Raw genomic sequence first — 26300 nt, 5'->3', positions numbered from 1 at the left:
ATTCAGGGTTGTGTTGCATTTTTTTCTTTGAGAATCACATTGACTTTTATTTTTTGTAGAGAGCTTTAAAAAATCGCACTGTTAGAAAAAAATTATATATGGGTTAAAATGCACTTTTCATGTCCTTTCATGCTCTATTGATTTTTTTCTCTCGTTTTTCTTACAAAAGAAAGTTTTAGTGCAGTTTTGAAAAAAATAGTAGTCAGCAATTGCTCCCTCCCCCAGGAGTAAAAATACTGGACATCTTGCTTAGAAATGCAACAGTATATATATCTAATGGGGGTGGGAGGTGGTGAGACCCCATTAGTCACCTGTAATACAACTGTTCTCACTACACACTATTTTAATAGCTGCAGGGGACTTTTAACTCTCCACAGTTTTTAACTCTGCAGTAAAGTTTAAATGTCCTACAGGGAGTTTTTGATGTGCTTATGGGATGTTCAATCTGAAGACAGAATAATTTTGTCTAAAAGCTGACACTACCTGGAGAATAAGTATTTATCTGTCTTCCATCAACGTACCTACCTGCCTATCTCTCTGTGAATGAAAGGCCATAGGGTAGAATTGAAAAACACTGAGTTAGAAGCCTAGGGTGTCCAGGTTTTCATCCCACTTCTAAGACCTTGGACGAGTCACCTCCATATCTTTGATTCTAGGTCCCATCATTGGTGAAGTGAGAAGCTTGGACTATGTCTCTAGGGGGGAGTTCCAGCCTTAACACGCTGCAACTGTTTTTGCACCTATTATAATAATATTCTGCTTTTTCAGGCACAAAAAACATGTGGATGATAGGTTCAAGATACTTCTGTTATTACATACTACTGTATGTCACTTTCTCTGTTACATTGTTCCTGTCATGCCTGTATTTTTATACACCATCCTGTGCCCAGAATTATTTTAGTTACAATTCAACTAAGTTCTCTCCCTGTTCAAAATTATACTTGCACATGCACCAGTTATGCTAGCCAAATAAAATTGATAAAACGGGATAATTTTTCAAATAAGCCAAGTCAAAAATGCTTTCATCTACGTCAATTGATTCTGGAATTATTTTAGCTCTAAATATAATGAATTTCATTTTTGGAGGTAGACCTTGTGTCCATATAGGTGTGGATGGGAAGTTGGGGAGGGAAGTGAGTGAGTGGAGGAAAGAGATTCTTTCCATTGCAGGATTGCAGACTTTCACTACAGACTGCTTGGGTTTCAGAGACCAAATGATCTACTTCCTCTGCCCCGTTACTGACCAAACCCTGCCCAACCTGACTTACATTTAACTTGAATGTACAGAAGCCACAATATTTTGAAAATGCATGTATATATAGAACGCTCTTTTGCTATCTGAGCCCAGTTCCAGATGTAATGCAGCTCTTGGCTGGCTGGAGAAGAGAACTCTTCTCACCAGTGGATTCGTGCCACTGGCTGTCAACTAAGAGGCATAACAGTGCTCCTCAATCAATGGTCTCTTAACAGAGCTGAACGTCTGCTTGTCCTCCTCTTTCTCATTTGGAACATCTGTCAGATCTCCTCGTCGCCCTGCAAGAGGTCCCCAGCCCTGCTTTGGCCAAGCGCCACAACCAACCTTTATTCTTATGCAGACCTCAGCAGCTTGCACCTCTTCCTTATCTGTTGTTCCTTTTCCTGGGTGCCCAGTAATATAACTCTTTTTTTATGAGTTCAGTGATAGTCTGTCTTATAGGTTTCTGCAATCTACTGTAAGGGTTATCAATTGTGAAAATTTTGGCTCCATAAAGAAGACATTCTTTTTGTATTCATTAAAAACATATTTATGGCCAGGCACGGTGGCTCACGCCTGTAATCCTAGCACTTCGGGAGGCTGAGGCGGGCAGATCAGGTCATGAGTTCAAAACCAGCCTGGCCAACATGGTGAAACCCCATCTCTACTAAAAATACAAAAAAATTAGCTGGGCATGGTGGCAGGTGCCTGTAATCCCAGCTACTTGGAAGGCTGAGGCAGGACAATTGCTTGAACCCTGGAGGTGGAGGTTGCAGTGGGCCAAGGTCGCACCGCTGCACTCCAGCCTGGGTGACAGAGCAAGACTCCATCTCAAAAAAAAAAAAAAAAAGCATATTTATGAGTATGTACTGTAAGCCAAGCACTAGGATAGGTGTATCAGGTGCAACAGTGAGCAGGGATAGCACAGTGTGTCCCCACTTGCCAGCTATGTGGCTTCTTTCTCCCTGGGTGTGCTGTAGGATGAAATTATCCAGATGGGCACCAAGCATCTTTTTACCACATTGCTATCTGCTTCTCCACATTTTCCCTTTCTGTAGTCCGTGCCTTCAGGCTGAGAAACTGAGTCTAGAGATCGTTGCCTCCAGCAGATCTGTTTCTTCCTGAACAGCACCTCTGCAGGTCAGCCGCAGCAAATCTTGGTCCATGAAAAGAACTTGCCAATGCTTATTCTTGAGAGAAAAGACCTGAGCTTCATTTCAGTTGTCTGTTGAGCTAGTAGTATTGGGGCCAGAAAGTTCTGAAGAGCTAGTAGAAGACGGCTGCCCTTTGAAGTCATTATTTCCAACAATAGGTCACCTCCAATACCCCTCCTGTGCCCCTCCCATCACCAAAGCCAAGCAGTGCCATGCTGCACTCCCTACCTCCAGGGAACCCGAGATTCAATTTCGGTTTCACCTCCCAGCCTTTGCCTGTTTCTAGCATCTCATGATATAGGAACAAGTTCTCTCAAGGGATGCCATGTTTTCCCTCAAAGTATTCATTTCATTAACAATCACACTGTGTTATTATGTTTTCCCTGTACTATTCTATAGATCATTTTTATTATGTAGATACAAACTCTTTGATATTGTAATTGTGAAGTACATATTATGAAGACAAATGCATTGGGCATAATGAGAATGGATTGCCAATAAAAGTCGAAAAACAATGAACAATTTTTAAAAGCAAAACCTTATCCAGAGCACTGTCACTTTGAATGCTTGCTAGAAAGCCCACTGGATGGAAGGAGTTTATTTTTAGTCTAATGTTGATAAAGGTTTGACTTTGGTAGCATCTTAATTATCTGATAAAAGCCAGACTCCTCTGCCTTGCTCACCTCTAATGTCTAATGCCTTCTGCTGGCATTAAAATTATTGCCACGACTCCAGAGAGAGAAACAAGAGATAGCTGCATTGCATTTCCAAGATGTGAATTAGAGTTTAAAGAGTCACTCAGTTTTGTTTAAACAAATTACAAAAATAATGGGTTACCCTTAAAAGCTCTGTTTCATATATTGTTATCCTTCACTTGTGACACCCCTGACAGTGTCATTCCCCACATTATGTCTCTCGTTTTTCACTAGGGGAGAAGAGTGGTTTCTGGGGGGTCTCTTCAGTGTTTTTTTTCATTTTGTCCCTGGTTCTGAAGAACAGAGAAAGGACAAGGAGAAAATGAGCCAATGGCCTACGCTTTGGACACAAGGTCATATATGGAGGGTGTGCTGAAGACTATATTGGTTGATTGGTTGACTGGTTGGTTGATTGATTGATTGATTGATATACACTTGCCACCTCTAAAATCACACAGGATTGGGGTAATGGATTGGGGCCCAGACATGGAGATGAGGAGCCCCCTACAGGACAGCGAGTGTTCTTAGACATAGGGAGGAAAAGGAAGGGGCAGACACAGACCTCTCCCGATTTAGGGCAGTGAGACACAGGGGAGCATGACATGGACTCGGTCCTTGGCTATATGATCTTGCCCAGGTCTCCACCTCTCTAGGCCTGTATGTCTTAGTCAGAAAATGAGGAGGCCAGACCAGGCTGTGTCTGACGTTGCTTCACCTTTGATGTTTCATGAGCCTCTGGGGGCTGGAATCTATGCAGCCACCATTCCACGCACAGCCAACTGGGATGCTTAATTCTAAAAACCTCCCCTCTCAAAAGGAAAGTGTGCCAGTTTAAGTATTTGAGGAAACATTTTGTAGAGGGTTGACCCAGTTCCCACATTAAGAAAATAATGCCCAGGCCCATATGGCTAATTCCTTCCCAAACTGTTTGTTTGCCATCATGCAGACCTACCCTGAAAATAAAGCGTCCAGTTGAGTTTCAGAATCCAAATGGAGCAGAATGCAAATGAGTGAGATAATGGTGAAAAGTACATTTACTTTGAAAATTCTTCCGAGTGCAGTCATCAGCAGCACAGGCACCGGCAGTGCTGATTTTTAAACTACACTGTTTCATGATTCAAGCTTCTAATTTTTACCCTGAATAAGAGATGCCTCTTGTTGCAAGGCTCTCCCCACTCCATTCTTTAACTTTTTTGCTTTGGCAAGCACCTACCCTCATAAGCATGGTTGGAGAGCTGAAATATCAGAATTTTCTGCCATGTCTCAAGGGAAGGGACTTTTGACTCTACTGTAAACCATGACCAAGGCTGGGGAAGTTTAGGAGAGTTCCTGAGACCAGGTAGCTAGCTAACTCAGAGACCTTTCGATCTAATGCCAATGGGGAAGGAGAAAATGAGAAAGCAATGAAGGCTTGGCAAATGCTATCAGGCCAGAAGGTTTCATTTAAGTAACGGTTGGGGATAGGTGCCTTTGCATCACCTTAGTACATCAGATCTGCACAGGAAGGGGAGGTGCAAAGATGTGGACATTACTGGGTTTGTCTTGACGGTGCAAACCACCAGGCTGGGGAGATAGAATTCTTGGAAAAAAAAGTTTTTAGCAGGAGAGTTAGAAGTGGAAGGTGGTCTGGGTGCCCCAATATGTGGCCCTGCTGATTGCATTAATCTTGTAATTCCATACGTTGGTGTTCTTGTACACGAGGTAGGCAGTTACTGCTTCTTTGCCTGAAAAAGCATTTTTGTCCAAGCACCCAGTCAGCCAAGTGAGGGATACTGTTGCTCAGTGTATGGATGAGGCTGGACAGATGCCTGGACTCCTGTTCACCTGGAGGCAGCTCTTCTTTGTGGACCTGAGGTGTTCCGGACATGTGTGTGCAGGGTATGACTCGCCCACTCTTCTCCTCAGCTTTTAATACATTGAAAAATAATTTTTCATGAGCTAGTAATTATATAAAAATTGCTTTTGCTTTAAACAAGAATTATGCTTGACTCTTGTGAGCAAAAAGAAAAATGCACAAAGGGAATCATTAATTTTGAATAAAAACACATACTTTCCTGCAGCCAGCAAAGGAGGGAAATGTGAAATTGGTGTTTTCTACAAACAGCCCGGCATCGCTCCCCAATCTGTTTGCTTGATCTATTATCCAGTCACCCGCAAAGTTGAATGTCTTGTTTGGCCTGAATCTGACTTTTATTCTTTTCCCTCTACCTATTTTTTAAGGACTGTGTTATATGCATACCTCAGCCTTCATTTGCATCACATTAAAGTAAAACATTTTAAATTTCTTCACAGCAGAAGTAAATCTGACAGACTTTATGAAGCTATTATACCTGCAGGTATTTTATACTTTTAAAATACATTCTTGTCAAGCTATCTTAATTATATTATTATATGTACTTTTGAACTTGTATTCACTATTCCATGATATATTACACTTTTGACAGAGCCGTCCTAAAAAGCTACAATTTATATCAAAGTTCTTTGGCTGAACAAAGATGTATCTGTTATGGATTCTGGGGGAATTTGTTAATTTCTGTGCCAGAATGTATAACCATTGAGGGAGCAGGCTGCTTTAATTTTCCATCCAAGTGATTATGGGAGAAGGACTTGACCTCCAGGCTGTGTAGTAACTCGGCACAGCTGGTGAACAGTGGCCGTCACTTAGATGCCCAGGAGGCCTGCTCCCAGAGCTGGGCTACCTTTCAAACCCCAGTTGTCATGGGGTATTATTCAACACACTATGGAAATGGAGAGCTGATCAGTATCTAATTTACTTTCTCATTCATATTCAGCACCATTCTGGCAGCACAGAGCAGGAAAGTACCCACACTGACAAAGATGAAAACAAGCCCAGGATGGGGTGGGATAGGAGGGAGACAGAGAAAGAAAAGATAGACACTCTGGAGCATTTTTTCAAAGATAACAAGGCCTAAGGTCCCTTAGAGGGGCTGTTTGATGTAAATGATGCAGGTGAAGTGAGCCCCCAAATTGGGGCTTAGTCCGGGAGGGTTCTTGGCTTCACCCAGGAAATAATCCAATGGGGAGATGATGGTGAAAGAAATCAGTTTGCAACTTTATTGAAGTGGCAGCATACAGCAGCAGCAGGGGAGCCGCTCCTTGCTGAGCAGGGCTACCCCATAAGCCCCGTGCCCATGCCCAGAATAGCAGCATATGGGCTGCTGACAACTGTGTTTATACCCCCTTTATTTACATGCAAATTAAGAGGTGGTTACTTAGATCTTTCTAGAAAAGGGGCAGGGAGTTTCTGGAACCATACAAGGTAATTTTCAGGTCATTGCCATGGCATATTGATGTGGCATTTGTAAAGTGTCATGACACTACTAGAAGTATCTTTTTATGTTAATGAGCAGTAAGGACAACTAGAGGTCACTTTCATCACTGTCTGCTGGTTTTGGCCAGCTTGTTCACTGCACCTTGTTTCTACCAGATCCTGCTCCAATCAGCAAGGTGACAACCCAGGTTGTGACCACTGCTGGGAAAACAAGCTCTGCTGATTTCCTACCTCATAGCCACTGTCTGCATTAAGTACAAAGTCCAGGGAACTGTGGTGAAACAGGAGGATATCCTGAGTCACTCCAGTCACACCTCCTCTTCCACTCTCTGATGGCAGGGTGTCCTACAGATGTAAGCCCCATGAAGACAGGCACTGGGGGTTTCTTTGTTCACTGGTGTCTTCAGTGTTCAGGACCTGATGAAATGTGTTGGATGAAAGTATAGCTGGTTTCAGTGCCAGACTCAGGTCTCCTCTGATCACTCCTCACCTCCCTGCTCCTGACCCAAGAAAGACAAGCTCCTTTCTGCCCATTATCATGAAGATGCTCAAACAAATGCCACAAGGGTGATTCCTGCTTCTTCAAGGGAGAGGCTACTGCAAATGACCAAAAAGCCCCTTTGCCCCTCAATAATCCAGGTTTTCTCATAGTAGATCTACAAGGTAACTCAGCTCTCCTGAAAGAGTCCAGGAGAATGACTACTTTCAGCTTTATTCAGAAGCCTCATACCTGCTCTTGGATAAAAGTTTTTCTTCCTTTCTTTCTTGTGGTTTTTCAAACTCTGTGAAGTGTGGAAGAGTTTTGTGCAAATATGAAGCCTTTGAAGATTCAGAGAGGGTAAGTGACTTACCCAAAGTCACACAGCATAATGTAGCATGAAACAGGACCTAAACAACCCAGCATGCCTGCCATTTGTGCTGAGGGCCTCCTTCTTGATTTTCTCTCAAAGGTGGTCCTGCATGTCCCTCCCCACTCAGACTTAGAAGTTCTTTATGAGCGGTGAGGGGGAGTCACTTATTTTTGCTTATTCTTCCTTCCAAAGGACACACAACTCAAACTCAGGTGTCAGAGCAGACGGCAGTGTCCTCGGCATGCTTTGAGTGGCAGTACACCGCTGTTTGAGGGATGAACTGATTCCGAAGAGTCCATTTGGACTGTATTTCGCATCATCTGCTCCTTTCATCAAAAGAGGCTCCGTGGATGCTCTTGATGTCTGCTCCTGGCTCCAGAGCCCAAACTGAGCCAGCTTCCAGGGCATGGGCAGACCTGCTTCTCTGGAGCAATGAGATCCAAGCCTGTTGTGGCCATGTAGAACAGTTTTGGTCCAGTCTTTCTGTAAGGTAGGCAGAAAATTTCTGTGCAGGGAACCCACTTCCAGGTCTTGCCACATGTACAGGGGCCCAGATCTACACTGGAAGTGGGGAGGGGCAGTGCAGGAACTACACTGGAAGTGGGGAGGGGCAGTGTGCTCTGGGTAGCTGTCCTCCTCTGTAATGGCAGGAGCTGGGTATGCCTCGTGACCTCTTGGACTCCTGCTCACATTATCACTGCTGCCTTCCCAGATGAGCTGTGCAAATAGATGGCGGCCATGAGTGGAATTGGAAACGAGGTTGGAGGGAGCTTCTGTCTGTCCAGTTTGGGGCCTGCCAAGCCTGGCATGGTGAGGGTATGGTGGAGCCAGGAGGGGCCACTATGGGAGCCGGGCCAGGAAGCTGCATTCTACTGAGCCTTTTACCTCTTGCAAGGACCTGCCTTTCAGGAGACTTCGGTCTCTAAAGGCCAGGGATGGAAGCTTCAGGGAGAGCTCTCCAGCTCCTGTTTAGCTCTTTGGTTCAGACCTAAGTGGCGAGCCACTTGACTGGATGGGACCTCCAGCCAGCCACAGCATTGGAATCCAGCCTGGCTCCTGCACTGCCTTTCATATTGATGTCCATGACAATCCCAGCTGTCTTGCAGTACATGGCACAGGCAGCCCTGGCATCTTGAGGAGGGTGTTCAGTGTGGTCCCTGGCAGAATATGAGCCTGGGGCAGACAGGATGTGGCTTTAGACCGTGAACAGGGAGCCCTGCCCCAGGACATACGACCCTGTGCCCCACACTCGCCCACACTCACTCCTGGTCATTAATCACAGTGCTCATGGGCCCCTGATTCAAAGGAAGTGCCAGCTGTACATGGGCCCAATGAACTTTACTCAAGATTAGAGGACTGTTTAGGGGCATTTGAAATGAATTGTGGAAAGGACATTTGTGAGACCATTTGAAAGGTCACTCAGGGGTGGTACAACAGGATAAATAATGAACCCATTACAAGGTTCTAGTGAACCACTGTGGCCTTGGGAACTGAATTTCATCACTTTGGAAGCCAGAGAAAGGCACTGGAAATAGCTTTGCCTTTGCACAGAGGGGAGTTTTCTTCTGCTTAACTGGATCCAATTAGAAAGTGATTCAGCGAACACTTATTCTGTGCGAGGGTCTTACAGTAAAGACTCAGTGTGGCAAGGCCCCTGTTTTCCAGGACTTTACAATCCTAGTTGGGAGTGGGGTGAGGTCAGGGGTGTGTAAGTTGAACACTATGATGAGAGCACCCTGAGGCGGATGCAGCCAGCTCCCTGTGAACATGGACAACATGACAGGGCTGGGTCTAGACACTGGAAATGGGTCCACCTGGTTTACTAGACTTGAGCTGAACCCATTTGTACAATTAGAGGAATTTATCTATTCACCAAATATGCATATCTCTTCAATTATTAAAGACTACCATGTCCTACTTTCAGTCGCCCAGAAATAGACCCTGCAATTCCAGTGCCAGTAACTCATGTCAGAGGTGATCCCTGGAGACACTGCAGGAGAGTGGGCAGGAAGACAGGGAGTGAAGGTAGGCAGCAACGGTTCCTTATCCAGCAAGTCATGAGTATGGCAGCCAGGTCTCATCCTGTACAGAATAGCCCTCAGCATCATCCCCACCAAGGGGCAAGGAAGCCGGGTGTTCATTCCCCCACCTCCCTCTGTCATTGGCTGAGGGCTGCATTTGAGGCATTAACTACCCAGGGATTCTGCCATGTCCTGCTAGGAGAAAAAAAAAAAAAAAAAAAGCCCTCAGGCAGAGGGTCACCCATGTTCACCACAAACAGCTTTTTCTATGTAGATACAATGGACTGAATGTTTATGTCCCCTCAAAATTCATATGTTGAAACCTAGTCTCCAAGGTGATGAGATTAGGAGTATTAGGACTTGGGGCTTTGGGAAATGATTAGGTCACAAGGGTGGAGGCTTTATGAATGGGATTAGTGCTTTTATAAAAGAAACCTCAGGGAGCTCTCTTGCCCCTCCAGCAAGTGAGGATACAGCCAGAAGGCAGCTGTCTATGAAGCAGGAAACCAGGCCCTCCCCAGACACCTAATCTGCCAGTGCCTTGGTCTTGGACTTCCCAGCCTCCAGAAGTGTGAGAAGTAAATCTCTGTTGTTTGTCAGCCACTCAGTGTATGGTATTCGGTTATAGCAGCCCCAAGCAGACTGCCAGTAGAGTTGAATGCTGCTGAGAGGATAAGAAAGGGCACTAACAGCATCAGAGACAATAACAAATAATGATCGGCCCCTACATGTGGATAGAATCCGGGCTTATAGTATATGACACTCCTACACTTTACCCTCCTAACCAACCTGTAAGAAAGACTGAGCAAGCATCAGAGCTTAGTAGTCATCAGGAGTGGGAGAAAAGGCTAAATGAATCCCAGCCCCACCATTACAGTCACCAAAGAGGGAAGGCTGTGAATCAGGGGCAATTTCCTTCTCCCAGCCCTCCTTTGCTCTCCACCTAGGGCGACGTGGCCCTCCCTCAAAGCCCCACCAGCCACACTTTCTCCTGAGCCCTCTCCAGCCTTGCTGACGACCCACATCGATCTACGGGGTCCTCTAACGCCCTTATCCACACTCTGCCCCACACAGCCAAGCCCTCAGTCAAGGGCTGCCCTGCTGGACCGCACTGGTGCAGCTTCTTCCAATCTGAGCATTGCCACCTTCGTAACAGGAATGTTTTTCCTTCTCTCTCATCCTCCATGTGTGTGGTATGCCATAGCACATGCTTAATAGACATCTGACTGGTTAATTTGAAGTAGTCCAATACGAGACTCTCCTAAAGACAAACTGGCTATGCTCTCCCACCCCCGCTTCACACCCACCCCCCACCCCCAGTCTTCCTTGAGAGCTGTATTACTCAGACATTTCCATAATGGGAAGAGAGAGAAGTGCTCAAGTCAGGGAGCTGTCTGGCCAATCAATGAATGATCAAGTTTATATTGAATGCCTATTGCATGTCTAGCTCTGAGGTTAGGTGCTGTAGGGGATACAGATATATAAGACATGCATGGCATCCGTGGGGAGTCCACAGTTTTATTGCAGAACTAAACTCAAACCTAAAAATCAATTACCTTAGAAGTCATACTGGACTGAGCGGCAGTAAAAATTGTGGTTAAAGGCTCATAAAAAAGGCAGAAAGTCTGGGTTCAGATTCTGGCCAACTTACATCCTAGCTGAATGTAGCTTTAAATAAGTATCCAAGAGAGGCTGTGCCTTCATTTCTTTCACCTGGAAATATTACCAGCACATCCTGATGGGGCATGGCACTCGGTAATCATTCGGTGAAATGTATTAATGTTATTAACTAATACTAGTATTATCTGTTATCTAATCCCAGTCATTGCTGACTTGAAGTGCTATGGAAGTTTGGGGAAGTGACTTATCAGAAAGGGCTGGCTGAGTTACAGAAAGAGTAACAGATGGAGTGGGTGTTAGGTTGGTCCTTGAAAGAGTTTTGGAAGTGGGAGAGAGGAGAAACAGCATTCCAAGCTGGAGAACAGCCGAATGGGAAGCCTGATGGCTAAGGCAGGCCGTGTGTAGAACCTCGAGGCACCTGGACCCATTGGAGTGCAGGTAATGAGAGGAGAGTCCCAGCACAGGTCCTGAAGACCTGCTATTGAAACGGGAGAATTTCCTTTATCCCCATGGCAGGCTGTGTGATAGGAGTGTGGCTCGCTGCATAGATGCCCCGCTGCTCAAACCCCTGGGGGGAGCAGGCAGACAGGCAGATTGTGGGGAACGTTTTTTGGGCTCCAACCCCAAGGCAGCATGTAGGGTTGAGTGTTTACAGCTCCTGAAGCCCCAGTGGGCGTGTGTTACAGTGTGCTCTTTCAGTTTAGCTGTCCGTTGGCAGCTTGTGTTAACCAGCTCAATTAGACCCTCTGCCTTATCGCAAGGACAGAGGGCTTTCTGTATCCTGGGTTCTTGCCTTAGTGTACTGGAAAAATCAGATCCCATGTGGGCTTGGAGGATGAGTGCAAGGTTTTATTGAGTGGAGGTAGTTCTCGGCAAGGTGGATGCGGAGGCCACAAGGGGAATGGAATGGGAAGGTGGTCTTCCCTGGAGTCAGGCCACGCAGTGGTCAGACTCTCCTCTGACCAAATAAATTCTCCTCGCGTCTGCGTCATTCTCGTCCTGCCGTTGATGGCCTGCCAGCGTCTGCCACTGTGTCCTTCTGCTGGTGTATTCCTCCCTGCTAGGGTCTCGGGGTTTTTATAGGCTGGTCAGTGTGTGTGGGGGGGCAGTGAGGAGGGTGGCAGGCCAGAGTGGTCTCGGAAAATGCAACCTTTGGGCGTGAAAACAGGAGTGGCTTGTCCTCACTTAGGCCCGTGGGCACAGGCCAGAGGGTGGAGCCCCCCCCAGGGACCCCATCCTTCTTCCTGCACTTCCCGGCCCCCCTCCTATTTCACTGTCACTGGCAAGGAGCGATTCCATTTGCCTGGGGAAAAGGTGTTACGTCCTTAGTAGCATGGTATCAGCATGGTTTTGAGAAGATAATTCTTACAGGGGTGCAGGATGGATCTAAGTGAGAGGACCTGGGAATGAGGAGACTATACACAGGCTGTAGGAAGGCAGCCCTCCCTGCCTGGCCAGGCCAGGTGGAAAGGGAAGCAGCATCTCCCTGCAAGACATCAACCACTTTCCTATCCTCTTTCTTCCTAACTGTGGGGTAATCTTTGGCTTCTCCGCAGTGTTTAGATAAGGAAGAAAACCCAGTCGGCCTCCCTCCCCCATCACTCTCTAAGATCCAGGTCCAGATACACAATGGAAGCATACATATTTCTCTTTCTTCTCCTTCTGTGCTCCAAAGACAGGCTGACACCGGTAAATCACTGCAGCAGGCTTTAAATGATGTATGAAATGAACAATCCCTTCCCTGTGTATTGGGAGCCTCCTGCCCAGCAATGGGCTGTGTCTACTGGGCTGGCTACTGTATTATTCAGCGCAGAGGAGGCAGCCGGAAACTCGGTGGAGGTGAGAAGCTTGGGATCACAAGGAAAAACAAAGTTAAAATTAAAAAAAAAGAAAGAAAAAACATGTTCTGAAACATATATAAGTATTTTTCTCTAGCTCTCACTTTTAAAAAAAAATTCTGCTGAAGTTTTTTGGAAAGGAAAACTTCTGTACTTCTTTGTGCATTTTTCTTCCACCCAAGTCCCTGCTCTCATTCCTTAAATTCAAAATAGACAGAAACAGAGACTTCGTCGATCCCTCAGGGTCCTGTACAATTGGTCACATCTCTGCACGTTTCTCAAAGACCATGTTCAGTTCAAACTCTTCCTTGTGAGCATCAGGATGTCCACTGCTGAACAAGGTGTGCAGACCTCCATGAGGGACTTGCCCACCTGAGCTCCCCACCCCCATGGGATTCTGCTGTGGTGGCCCTGCAGGGTGTGCAAGCACCGGGGCATTGTTGCTTCGATAACCCGAGTCTGCTGACTTATACCAAAGTATCTACTAATCCCAGACTAAACACATCAATGACCCGCTCAGCAAACCCTATTGGTACAGAAAGCAGCAGGCAGCCTCAACTCAGAGCAGCCGCCTCTTGCACATCAGACTGAGCTACAAATAGACTGAGAGCCTTCTTAGTCTGCAGGGAGGGTGAGCTTGGTCAATTTGCTTTTAGCCGATGAAATAATCATTGACGTTTAGACAGACTTCTAATCTTGGCTCAGAACAGTCAAGAGGCATTTTAGCTACAGATGGTAAATGGGTTCATACAGGGATATATTTAGCAATGTGGCCCAGGGGCAGAAGAGAAAGAGGCCTTGGGATCCAGGAAACTGGTCCAAGCTGGAGGCGCCTTGATTCCTGGAGGCAAGTCACATAATTCCCTGAGCCTTATAACAAGTGCCCCAGGTATGGGTGGGTTCATGCACAGGTGCTTGCAGGGAGGAGTGAGGAGGAGCTCTTTGATCCGGCCATGGAATCATGAACAGGACATGTACTCTGTTCACACCTAAGGCCAGTAGGAAAACAGGCAGGTGAGCAGATGATGGTGGATGAGCTGCATGGGAAGGATGGTGTGGTATATGCATGATGGAGAGGGAGGATCCAAAGTAGCCCTTGTGGCCTGGATTTGAATCCTAGCTCCATCAGCTTTAGAGGCATGCACTCAAGGCAATTTATTTTCCCTCTATTCCTGTTTTCTCGTCTGTAAACAAGGATAATTCTATACCAAATGTGTGGGTTTACAGTGAGAGATGAATACATGTGAAGCACATAGTGCAATTCAATGTTGGTTACTACTTCTTATGGAAAAAGATCAAGCAGGTTGATGCTTAATTCAGACTGGAGTCTGTGAAATGGAGACTACCCAAGACCAGTTCAGACACATAGCCCAAGTCTTATATTTGCTGCTAACAGGAGTGGGGCAATGCACCTTCCCAGGGAATAAGAATTCCAGAACTGTGCCACCCTCACCTCTACCATGTGGCTGTCACATGTCACCATGGCCAGGCAGGCATACTGCAAGCTGTGCAGCCCTCCTGGTCCCACACCTGCCTTTCTCCAAGTTTCATGGAGGAAAAAGGAGCGGAGATGCTCCTTTATCAGCACCCTTGGAATTATTTTGGAAGCCACTGTCCCCTCATGTAAGAGACAGAGATCCTGGGATGGAGTGAGGTACTGGGTTTGAACTTTGGCACTCCAAGTTCATTGCTGGGTTCAGTTTCCTTATCCCTAAAATGAGAATAATAACTCCACCTTCTCCACTTCACATGAAAAATAGATAAGGAAGGGCTTTTATAAGTTGCATCCTGCTCTATACTTTGTAATATAAATTGTCTGGTCAGACCCTCTCTTCAGCCAAGTGTTCAGCTTTAAGGAGGATGCCCGGTTGGGGAGGAGCGGAGGAAACTAGTACCCACTTCACCACCTGTGTCATCTGAACCAACCTGGCCAGCACTGGGTTAACACATGGTGTAGCCAGGTAACAGGGGTCCCCACAGAACTTGTTCCTGGCCCCCTGGCTCTAGGAAAGCTTTGGCAGCCAGGCAAGACCTGCAGCCTACCTTTGTTGTGTGAGCTTTGGCACGGGAGGGAGGCAGGGCAGAGGAATACCACCTACTTGGGGTTCCCCAGAAGCCTGTAAAATCCCCCCTGAAAACCCAACTTAAAGTGACTTTAAGGATCTGAGCTTCACTGATTCCATTCCTCTTTGTACCTCTTTGTTCCTCCGCTACTACACTGCTACACACAGGCGCACACTCACTCACACATACACTCACACACGCACTCAAACACACACACACGCACTCAAACACACACACACGCACGCAAACACACACGCACTCAAACACACACTCACACGCAGTCAAACACACTCACACATGCACTCACACACTCACACGCACTCACACACGCACTCAAACACACACGCACTCACACTCACACACGCACTCACACACGCACTCACACACACACGCACTCAAACACACACACTCACACACGCACTCACACACATGCGCTCACACACGCACTCACGCACTCACACACGCACTCAAACACACACACGCACTCAAACACACACTCACATGCACCCATGCCCACCTCCCCACATATTCATACTTCTGGAACCCCAGCTTGGCCTGTGCTGTCTTTTCCTGAGCAGCCAGGAAGAGGAGGCTGGAATCCCAGCACAGAACAGCAACTGAGCAGTCCTCCAGTCTTCCCCCACAGGTAGCACGTTCCAAGCCAGCAGCCCAGGTGCTGCAGAAACACCTTCGTGCTGTGTTCCACACTTTCATGTGGGGGAAGCAGGCAGCAAGTCACCAGCAGCCAGCCATCAGCAGGAGGTGCTGACAGCCTTTCAGACAGCAGGCAGAGAACAGGAAAGGGTGGGCCAGTCCCTAACCATCACACTCCCTAAGCCTTGAATTAACACCTTGTCACTCACAGCTCTGGTATCCCAGTGCTGGCTGTCATGACCACAGAGCAGGTGTGATGCTTGGGCTCTCTGTGGTCAGAAAGCCACGGTGAGAAACTGCCAGCAAAGCTCCCATTCTGTCTGCTTCTCAAATGCCTGGCAATGTAGACCGGGCCTCGAGTGTCTACACTGTCAAATGCATCACTCTCTGGCAGATTGATTTCTCTGTGGCTGTTCTGTCTCTCAGCTCATAGAATGCCAGAACTGGAAAGGACCTATTGTGGTATAGATGGAATAATGAGGCCTGATGGAGTTAGGGTGGACGGTGGGAGTAGTCGATAGTGACTGGGGAAGCCAGGTGCCCTGCCTCCTGGTGCAACACTCGCTCTGTTGACGCAGCGTGGAGAGCAGTGAACCTCTTCATTCATCAGGGCTTCTCACTGCCCAGAAGGGACAGGGGCTAGAGTCCCCTTTCCAAACCTGCTGCCCATGTGCCCATGAATGTTAAACTAGCACACCTGGTATCTGCTGAGATGGATCAGATTTACCCAGCGGAAGAAAAGCAGCTCCCAGGAGGAATGGAGTTTTTGTCAATACCCACAGCAGAGGGCTGGCTTCATTTCCAGTAAGAGTCAGTGAAGCTGGGATAATTACTCGTTACAATTTTATTGATATTCACTTCACTCTGCAAATGACGTGGGAAGGTTCTGACAGGATGTCTTAATGGGACTGGCTGAGAATCCATTTGGGTGGATGTGGGTTAATGGGGCTGAAGAGACTACAGGGTTCAACTGCGTCAGCCCTATTACCCTAGCATCTCCTTTATCATCAGGAGCAAAACAACATGTGTAGTATGAACAGCATGATGCTAGGGGAAGAGCTCAGCTCAGGAAACTCTTGAATGTCTTTTCAATTTCCTCCCTCCATCACCTGGACAGCATGGAACGCCTTCACTCGGCTGTGGCTTCATTCCTCAGGGCCGCTAACTGCTCACTGCCAAGAAGGGCAGAGCTGGAGAGGTCCTTTTCCATGCCCAGGTGCCTACGAGCCATGCTCATGTGCACTCAACTGGTCTGATGGGAAAGGTTTAGAGACAGGTGCCCAGAAGCTTATCTTCTGCAGGAAGGTTTTGTATCACACGGTACAGTCCATGTGCCCCCAGACATCCCTGGCAGCCTTTTGGACGTCCACACCTCAAGGACTATCCCTCGAGAAGCAGTCAGTCCACACTCCACTTCAGATCCAGGTCAGCAGAGAATTCATAACAGCTAAATGCAGATTTTTTTGACTGCCAGATAAAACGTGAATATACCAGCGTACATTTGCATAGCTCTCTGTAATTTACAAAGGGCTTTTACATGTATCATTTCATTTGATTCTAACTGATATCCTGTGAAATAAGTAGGGCCAGAGACTTTTTGTGAATTTTTTATATTGGTCATTTGCCAGTTGGCACACTCAGATCCATTCCCCACTATTCCCTGTGAACTCCACCTCCCAAACCTCCTGGCCAACTGGCTACCGTGTAGGTTCAGCCAACGGAAGGCACTGTCAAGGGGTTAGAGGGTAGAGGATGGGAGAAGTAGGGTACTGCATCTCTCTTTCTCTGCCCCGTATCACTTCTAAGAGAGTAGCTGAGTCTTCTGGGTGGTCCCAGTTCCCACTGGGTGGTCTTGATTCCTGAGTTCAGGAAATACTACCTCCTTCCTTTGTACCTCTAGCCTGGGATTGGCTGCCTACTGTTACTAACCTCTGGGCTGCCTCACTCTCCCTTGCAGACACCTGCATGGGTGCTGTTTTCCTGCCTGCAGCCTAAATGTTACATTCCCAGAAATGATGACACCAAGCCTTCAAAGAGGTAAATTAATTTTCCCAGGGCAATGCAGCAATCAAGAACAATATCCTTAGTACAAAACAAGTTTTCAAACATCCAGAGCTTTGCCCTTTTCCCTACCCATGTGAGAACAAACAAAACGAGTACACAAATTAAAATAAATCTAGAGAACCCAGAGAGAAAGGCTACACACATAAAGCAGGAGGGCACAAAGGAGGGAGAATTTGTTTGCCTCTGGTAGCACCAGGAGAGGCTTTGTATAGGAGGTGGCACGTACCAAGAGTGGTACAAAGGAGGTAGTATTTCTGAAACTGCGAGAAGAATCAAGTGTAGGATCACTAAACTTTCAATGTGTCCACGGGTGCCATCTTGCATTTGTACCTCTGCCCTCTCCTTGGACATTCTAAGAGTCTCAGCCTCTCTCCTTTGGACCAGGGCAGGAGCCTCCTCACTGGCCTGCCACCCATTCTCCACCCTGTGGTTGGGAAGAAGTCTCTCAAACACACAGCCCCCCAAGCCATTCTTCTGTCTAGAAACCTTCAACAACTATACGTTGTTTATAGGGTAGGTCCCAACTCTTCAGCCCTAATCCAAGGCCTTTGGCTGCCTGGCCCCTCTGCCTCCACGCCGCCTGCTGCCTGGCCACACCCAGAGCAATCACTACGTCTTGAGAAGGTCATGCACTTCTCCTCCTTTGCTCAAACTCTTCCTTCTGCCTGGAATGCTCTTCCTCCCTTCTTCATTCAGCAAATTCCTTCCCAACACCTGAGGCTCTTAAATATCACTTCTATAACTTTCCCAGCTTTTCTGCCTGAAACATAAATAAAGGCAACCTTCTCTGTGCTCCCAGACCCATTGCCCACGCCTTTATTAAATTTAATCAGATTGTCATGTCATTACACATTTAAGTGTCAGTTCCTACCCTCTGGGAGCTCACAGTGTGGTGTTGGAGAACTTATCTTTTATATTCCCAGCACCAAGTACCAGCAACGGGCACATCACAAATGCTCGTTACCTGTTTGTTGTATTGAAATTAATTCCAATATCATCCTCCCTCTTTCTCTCCTTATCCTCCTTACTCCCTTCCTGAATTCCTGCTACTTAATCTATTGGTCAAAAATGTCTGTCCCCTTTCAGATTACGCTTCTCAGACAATAGTAGAACGTCAGAGTTAATACAGCTCTAAAGGTAAATCAGAGCAGAAAAGAAGTAAATGATGAAGACAATTCCAAAAAAGAAAAGATTGGTTTTCAACTGAGATATGTAGAGATAGAAAGGAGGGTGAGGTAGGAAGGAGTGATATGTTGCCATGGCCAAAAACAGAAATAGCAAGACTCAGGTTAAGGTTGGTGCTATAACAAGCAACCCTAGCTGCCTCATGGACTCTCGGTTCATCCTCCTTCCTCTCCTCAAACCTGGTTCATTTGGAGGTCACTTTCTCTTCCAAGAAGAAGAGGAAGAAACCTTGGGGAGAAACTTATTTCCACACCTATGTTCCTTCCCCAGTTGAGGTGTAGTTTTACCTTTAATGTCAATTCAATTTATGTATGTTTTTGTCAGAGTTATAAGCCTTTTCCATGAGTGTTTATGTGTGTGGCTTCTCTCATTAGATTATGAACAAGCTTTTGCAGCTCAGATATAGTTTGGGGGTCCCCTCCTCCTCCTCCTATTGGCCTGGCTTCCTCCTGTCCTTTGAGGCTGCTATCCATTGTCCAGTTCAGTTGCTCTTTGTTTATAAAATGGCTTGTATAGCACCATGATTCAAAATGTGGCCCCTGGAACCAGATTGCCTTGGTCCAATCCAAGCTCTGCTAAATGTTGCTCAGTGACCTTGAATAAGTTGCCATGTGTCAGTTTCCTCCTCAGTAAAAATGGGAATAATGATAGAAGCTCCCTCTTGGGCCCATCGTGAGAATTAAAGAAGCTAATATATTCCATATTTGCTTTCATTATCATTACCACTTTTCACCCCCAGATAGCCTGTGTTCCTCTCCTCTTCCCATCCTTGGAACCAAGGACAGGGCTTCTTTCTCTTTGGTATATTATAAAGTCTCCTTTATAAGGCTCTACCTGCAAGGTAGCTCAGCAAAGGTCAACAGTTATCTTTGCAGAACTTCTTTAAGAGAGTGTTTGTGCCTCAGCAGCACATGAAGTCAATTTGTGGGAAACCAGGAACCCTGTACATAGCTGGAGTCCTCATCCCTCAGCGGCTGCCACTTCTCTCCTAAATGCCACAGCCAGGAGCAGAACCTCAGCCTTGTTTAAACCATGCTTCTTTCCTGAAATAATCTTTTTCCTAGGAAAATCCACTGTCCCTTCTAGCAACCTGACATCCAGGTGAAGAGTGTTCTGCCACTCCAGCCATAAATAGCACTATGACTGAGATGGCTTTGAGGACAGTCTTTCCCTTAGCATCATTTGCAGAAGACACTGCCTATCAGCTGTCTCTGCACAGAACTGTTTACACATCTTTCATCACAAGCATTTCTGCCCCTCTTCTGATCACAGAACCCATACAGAAAACCACACACACACACACATCACAGACACTGCTACTGACCTCTTATGAGATCAAAGCCAAAATATGAGTCTGCCTTGTGAATGGCAGAGGAGAACTCACACTGGAGGTGTGTGCATGTGGAGAGAGAGAGAGAGAGGAGAAAAAGAGACAGAGACAGAGAGATTGCTAACTTCTTAGGAGGTGAGAACTGAGAGATTATTCTCTTTTGCTGACGACAGACAGCACCCAATGGCAAGCATATGCACCCTGCCACATCATCCCAGCCTTTCTGTCCCTCCCACACACACCCTTCTCAGTATTTATGATGGATCTTTAGTGTATTAAGAAGAAAAATGCATTTGGCAGCACTAATGTCTGCTGTTTAAGTCCTATTGCTTCATCAAACCTGGCCTCTCATAGTCACAGGCTCCAGAGCAGCCGTCAACGGGATGTGCGTCATCCTTCAAGGTTAATGAGAGAAAAGCTCCCCTGGACAAGTCTAGTCTATATTTGTGTATTCTGCTGCCATGACATGATGGTTGAAATGGACCAAATTGCTTCCCAGCATGAGCCCACAGTCACATTTCTCTGGCCTTCGTACAGGAGGCTCCTGGCACATTTGGCGAGGCAGTTCACACGGTAAGTGGGGACCTGGCTGGGTGCCAGCATGTTAAAGTGGTAAGCCCATTACTTCTTTCATCTGCAGCTTGTGCCCTGAGCCCTGTGGCTGTCTGGGGCAAGGCTGAGGCACGACACAGTGAATTTCCCCAAGGTGTGTGTATACAGAGGATAGCGGTAGGTTTCTCATCCTTCATGAGCTTCCCACTGCACACAGCCACCTGCAGTCCTCCTTCCATTCACATCCCAGGCAGCTAGAGGGCCCAGCCTCACCCACCCCACCCCCACAGCCTGAAGACTTTTCTCCCACACGCATTGGCTGATTCCTTTGGAATCAGGCAAGGAAGGGTCTGTGATAGAAAAACGGTTGACTCTGAGGTCTGGAAGACCTAAGTTCAAGTCCTGGAAATGCTGCTTCTGCTTTAAGACATATGACCATGAAGGAAATACCAGTCTCAGATCAATCCCCAGAGGCAGACCCTGAGCAAGGATTCCTAGGCAGATGCTCCCAAGAGAAACAGGAAGAAGAAAGGGAAGCAGAATAGAGACAGGGATGATGCCAAACAGAAGTGTGATTTTAAGTAAAGTCCCAGTCTCAGCTTGATCCTGCTGGGAAGCTCTAGGATGTAACATATAGCTTAGAGTGTATTGGACTTTCTAAGCAAATACTCATCCTCCCACAGCAATCATTGGCTAAATAAACTGCCAAGCAATTCCTGTTCTCTGCAAGTTGGGGCAGGCAGGAGGGTGAAGCACCTGGGCTGGCCCAAGGGCAGCAGACAGCACACAGTCACAGGTGGGGTCCATTGGAGCAAGGCACACAGGTGGGTGGGCTGGGCACCCAGGACTCTAGAAGAGATGTTGGAGGGTTGGGAGGAGCATCGATCGTGTGCTCTCCACCCTCTCACCCCACTGGGCTTCATGTCCTTCAGTGTATGGAGGAGGCAATATGTCTACCATAAAGTTGATGTGAGAATAAAATGTGGCCTCAAATGCAGATGCTCTCTCACCTCATAGGTGCACGTAAATGTGAGTGCCTTCTTTCTCATAAACCTTCAGGAGACAGTTCCACTCAGTTAAACTGGATGCTCATGCTATAATGTTAGGTAAGAAAAAAATCAAAATATAAAATGTTATCCCTGGCATGCTCACCATTTCATAAAAATACAAAATATGGGCCCAGCGCAGTGGCTCACTCCTGTAATCCCAGCACTTTGGGAGGCCGAGGTGAGTGGATCATGAGGTCAGGAGATCGAGACCATCCTGGCTACTAAAAATACAAAAAATTAGCCGCGCATGGTGGCGGGCGCCTGTAGTCCCAGCTACTCAGGAGGCTGAGGCAGGAGAATGGCCTGAACCCAGGAGGCAGAGCTTGCAGTGAGCCGAGATGGCGCCACTGCACTCCAGTCTGGGCGACAGAGCGAGACTCGGTCTCAAAGAAAAAAAAAATATATGTCTGTGTGTATATATACATATATATATATATATATATATATATATATATATATATATACTTAGAAAAATGTTATCAGAAAATACTCAATATGCTAATAGTGATTATTTCTGGCTGTTGAGATTATGAGTTATTTTTCATTTTAATTTTATACTTGTCTGATTATTCTATCATGAGCAAGTGTTACATTTACGTTAAATCATACTTTAAAACATGAAGACTTAGAAAGATCAAGTAGTTTAATTAAATAATGTGAGAAAAAAAATTTAAAGGCCATCTTGTCTTCACTTGTTCCCCGTTCCAACATTTCAATGCAGAAGCAAAGCTGAGAGGTAGACAGATTGTTATCTTTGATTAGTTCCCATCCTGGTTATGTGTTTGTATTTTAATGAAGATCTTGGTGGATACTGTGGCTTAATTCCACAGGTTTCATTACTGTGGAATTTTCCAGAGCCTTTACCATATCAAAGTGCATATGGCTCTGCAGAGACACATACCCCACAAAGTGTTCCCCAAACTTACTTAGCATTGGAACCCTTTTTGAAAGGTGCATTTTAGGGACTTTCATCCCAGGAACCAACTTTGGGAAATACTAGGCTGCAGGCAGAGGGAAGATGGGGCTCTCCAGTGTCCTTTTCAAGAAATTCAAGGGCAAGAACACCTTTTGGTGCCTCCAAATCTCCCTATGTAGCCCCTGCTGGGTCCATAGGCCCTGTCCCCTCCTGCCTGCCCACAGCCTAGACCAGGTCCAGAGAAACCCTGATGAAGGAGCCCAGAGGGCATAGAGATGGTGGTGGGAGGGAAAAGGGCACAGACCATCTCCTAGAGTCATAGGTTGGTCATGTCAAGTCTGGCATTAGACCTCACCCAAACTCACAGCCAGGGAAGCAAAGGAGGATAAGCTCTCAGGACTGGAAAGGCTGGTGATGGAGCTGATGGGCAAGCCTGCCCCATCTGGCTGCCAGAGCCTCACCTCTCACTGAGTCTCACACATGATAATGTCTCACACATATGATAATGCTACTTTTCATGAAGCAGTTCTGAGTGGAAGAACAGCAAATTTGAAAAATAAGTGTATTAGTTCATTCTCACATTGCTATAAAGAACCACCTGAGACTGGGTAATTTATGAAAGAAAAGAGGTTTTGTTGACTCACAATTCTGCAGGCTGTCCAGGAAGCATGGCTGGGGAGGCCTCAGGAAAGTTAAAATCATGGTAGAAGGCAAAGGGAAAGTAGGCACGTCTTAGATGGCTGGAGAAGGAGGAAGAGAGAGAAGGCGCAGGAGCCGGCATTCCCCACTTTTAAACAACCAGATCTCCTGAGAACTCACTTACTATCGCAAGAACGCAAGGGCGAATCTGCCCACATGATCCAATCACCTCCCACTAGGGCCCTCCTTCAACATAGGGGATTACAATTTGATGTGAGATTTGGGTGGGGATGCAAATCCAAACCATATCAATAAGGTTGCAGGAGGGGCTAAGAGCAGTTTCTCTGACAGCCAATCTAACACCGTGATGATGATGAAGTTTCCAGGCTCCTGAGCCAGACTGCCGCTGGGATGACTCCTGCCTCTGCCCTGCCCTGGGCCTTCGGGCTGGGGCTGAACAGCTCTGTGCCTCGGACTCCACATCTGTACCACAGCCACGACTTAGAGACAAGGGTGAATCTATATCTGTGAAGGACTATAACGAGGGCTGTGGCTAGTTATTCCAAGTAGAGAGAAAGAGATTGAAATGACTGCAGAGGATGAATTGGACCCTTTGTGCACTGTTGGTAAGAATGTGAAAATGGTGCTGCCACTGTTGAAAACAATATGGAGGTTCCTCAAAAAATTAAACATAGAATTACCATATGAACCAGAAATTCGACTTCCAGGTATATACCCAAAGGAATTGAAAACAGAGATTGAAACAGATGTTCGTACATCCGTGTTCATGGCAACATTATTCACAATAGTCAATGGTGGAAGCAACCGGATCATCTATCAATGGACAAATGGATAAACAAAATGTGGTCTATATTTACAATAGAATATAATTCAGCTTTAAAAAGGAAGGAAATTCTGGCCCATGCTACAACATGGATGAACCTGGAATACATGCTAAGTTAAATAAGCCAGACAAAGAAGAACAAATGTTGTATGGTTCTACTTATATGATGTCCGTGGAGTAGTTAAATTCATAGAGACAAAGTAGAAGGTGGTTGTCAGGGGCTGGAGGTAATGGGGATGAGGAGTTAGGATTTAATGGGTACAGACTTTCTGGAGATGGGTGGTAGTGGCATATTCATACTGCATAATAATATGAATGTACAATGTACTTAATGCCACTGAACTCTACCATTAAAATAGTTTAAATCATAAATTTTATTTTAGTGCATTTTAACACAATTTTTAAAAAGAAGTATCAACTATTAAGAGAAAAATAGAAAAACAAAAAACCACACACCACATACACACACACACACACACACACACACACACACAAGAAACTTATTACTGGAAGAGTTTAGGCCATATGTTAACAGGAGCTTTGTTTTTACTAAAAAGAAAAAAAAAAGATCCACAATCAAGACTGGAGAACCCTTTTCCCTGAATGCTGTAAGAGGAGACTCCCATGAGATGATTCATGTGCACTACTTGTTGATGCAAAGGGTTGAATAATTAACCTTGAAGATCAGTCACCATGTATTTATTAATACGTTCTGCCCCACTATTAATATCATTAACTAGACACTGAGAACTGTATTCTTAATCTCTGAAATGTAAAGTCCCTGTCATATACTTAGAATGAAACATGCAGAAAAGTTTTATGCAAAACTGAGCCGGAGACCTTGAAAGGAGGTCAAGGAAGTTTTGTTTTGTTTTTTTTTTAAGTTTATGTGAAACTTATTTTGAGAATTACTTTTTCAGAATTGTTATAACTCCATAAAAGCATATGCAGGGTGTCAAAAACTTGGAGAGAGCATGGGTGAATATGAAGAGCTGTCTTAGGCTGGGGAAGCTGTGGGTGGATGTTTTTCCTATTTCAATTTCTTTTGTGGCATCAAATATTGTTTCAGTAATAAGTAAAATTGACAAAATGATAAAAATAACATTTGAGAAACTAAACTCATGAAAAGCATATTAAAACTGACATCACTTCTTTTACCCATTTAAAAATGCAGAAATGGAGATTGAAGTTAGATAAAAGCAGAATGTACTTCTTGTTATAAATGAAAACAGTCTCATATTAGAGATTCAAATTATGGCCACAAGATAACTCCATGGCAGTTCATAGAATCGATAAAATTCCAGTTTGTTTGGAAAGCCAAGTTTCCTATATGCCAAAATACATATTTTGTAAATTGCTTAATTTACATTTGAAAAGATCAAATCTTAATTCTTCGAGAAGCTAGTAGAAGGATTGAGAGACACTGAAGGGAAAAAACACACACAGCGATTTAAACAGCCTTTTTGGTTCAGCAGTATACACAGTTTGATTGAAATTGATAGCATTTGGAAAAAGGAAGTATTTTTCCCATTTTAAAAAAAAAGCAACAACACAAAAAAACTTGCACGACACAAAAAACTTAAGTTACATGAAGTTCCTGCTGTGAGCTTTTAGTGACTCTAGGAAGGAATAACAGGTTTCCCCGGAGAAATAACATCCCAAGGAACTCGGCAAATGACACAGAAAGAGCTTCTGCTCCCTGGACATTCCCTGAGGGCGTCTTGGTTCCCATCCAGCTGAGGATGGTGCAGCCTCTGCTCAGGGAGTCCACCTGCCTTCCAGAGCTGGACAAGAAGCCAAGAGCAAAGATCCCAGGGTTAAGAGCCTGCCATTGCCTTGCCGGGGGACCTTTAGTACAGTGCCTTGACCCCATGCCTCAGTTTCTCCTTTGAAAATTACTGTGATAAAAGCACAACACATGTTTTCAGCTCAGACGTAATGTCTTAAATTTGTATATGGATTTGGAGCTTCTCAAGAGCTTTCTTTGCTCACCTCATCATGATGCTCCCAGCTCTCATCATATTAAAGTAGAGATAGCTCAAGCTTTGGAGTCACAATGCTGGTTGACCTTCCCAGAGGACTTACGGTCTCCAGATACTATATATATGGCACATAGTTGGTACTCAGAAGTAGTCAGTTTCCTCCTTTCCTACCATGCAAACTGGTATGAATAACATTTTGTTATGCAAATGGGCTTAAGAGAGATTAGATGATTGGTCCTAGGCTAGATAAGTAATAAATAGTAGAGCTAAGATTATAGCCATGATCGGCCGGGCGCTGGTGGCTCACGCCTGTAAT

At 45.7% G+C, this 26300-nt stretch overlaps 1 protein-coding gene and 1 long non-coding RNA gene across 21 annotated transcripts in view; both read left to right on the top strand.

The window, feature by feature from the left end:
• The window catches only part of KIRREL3 (kirre like nephrin family adhesion molecule 3), a 580037-nt gene that overhangs the window by 124772 nt on the left and 428965 nt on the right, over positions 1-26300 (top strand). The window lies entirely within an intron of this gene.
• Positions 1-26300, top strand: part of LOC105369559 (uncharacterized) — an 88316-nt gene extending 62016 nt beyond the window's left edge. For all 4 annotated transcript variants that reach the window (XR_007062939.1, XR_001748435.2, XR_948149.3 and 1 more), the window contains one exon: positions 1-26300. This exon is cut by the window's left edge and continues 4907 nt beyond it. This is a non-coding gene — a long non-coding RNA (uncharacterized LOC105369559).

The sequence above is a fragment of the Homo sapiens genome, chromosome 11 (genome assembly GCF_000001405.40).
Source record: "Homo sapiens chromosome 11, GRCh38.p14 Primary Assembly".
In the NCBI taxonomy this organism is placed as follows: Eukaryota; Metazoa; Chordata; class Mammalia; order Primates; family Hominidae; genus Homo; species Homo sapiens.
The sequence above is the reverse complement of the archived record's forward strand: the minus strand, read 5'-3'. Positions and strand labels throughout refer to the sequence as shown.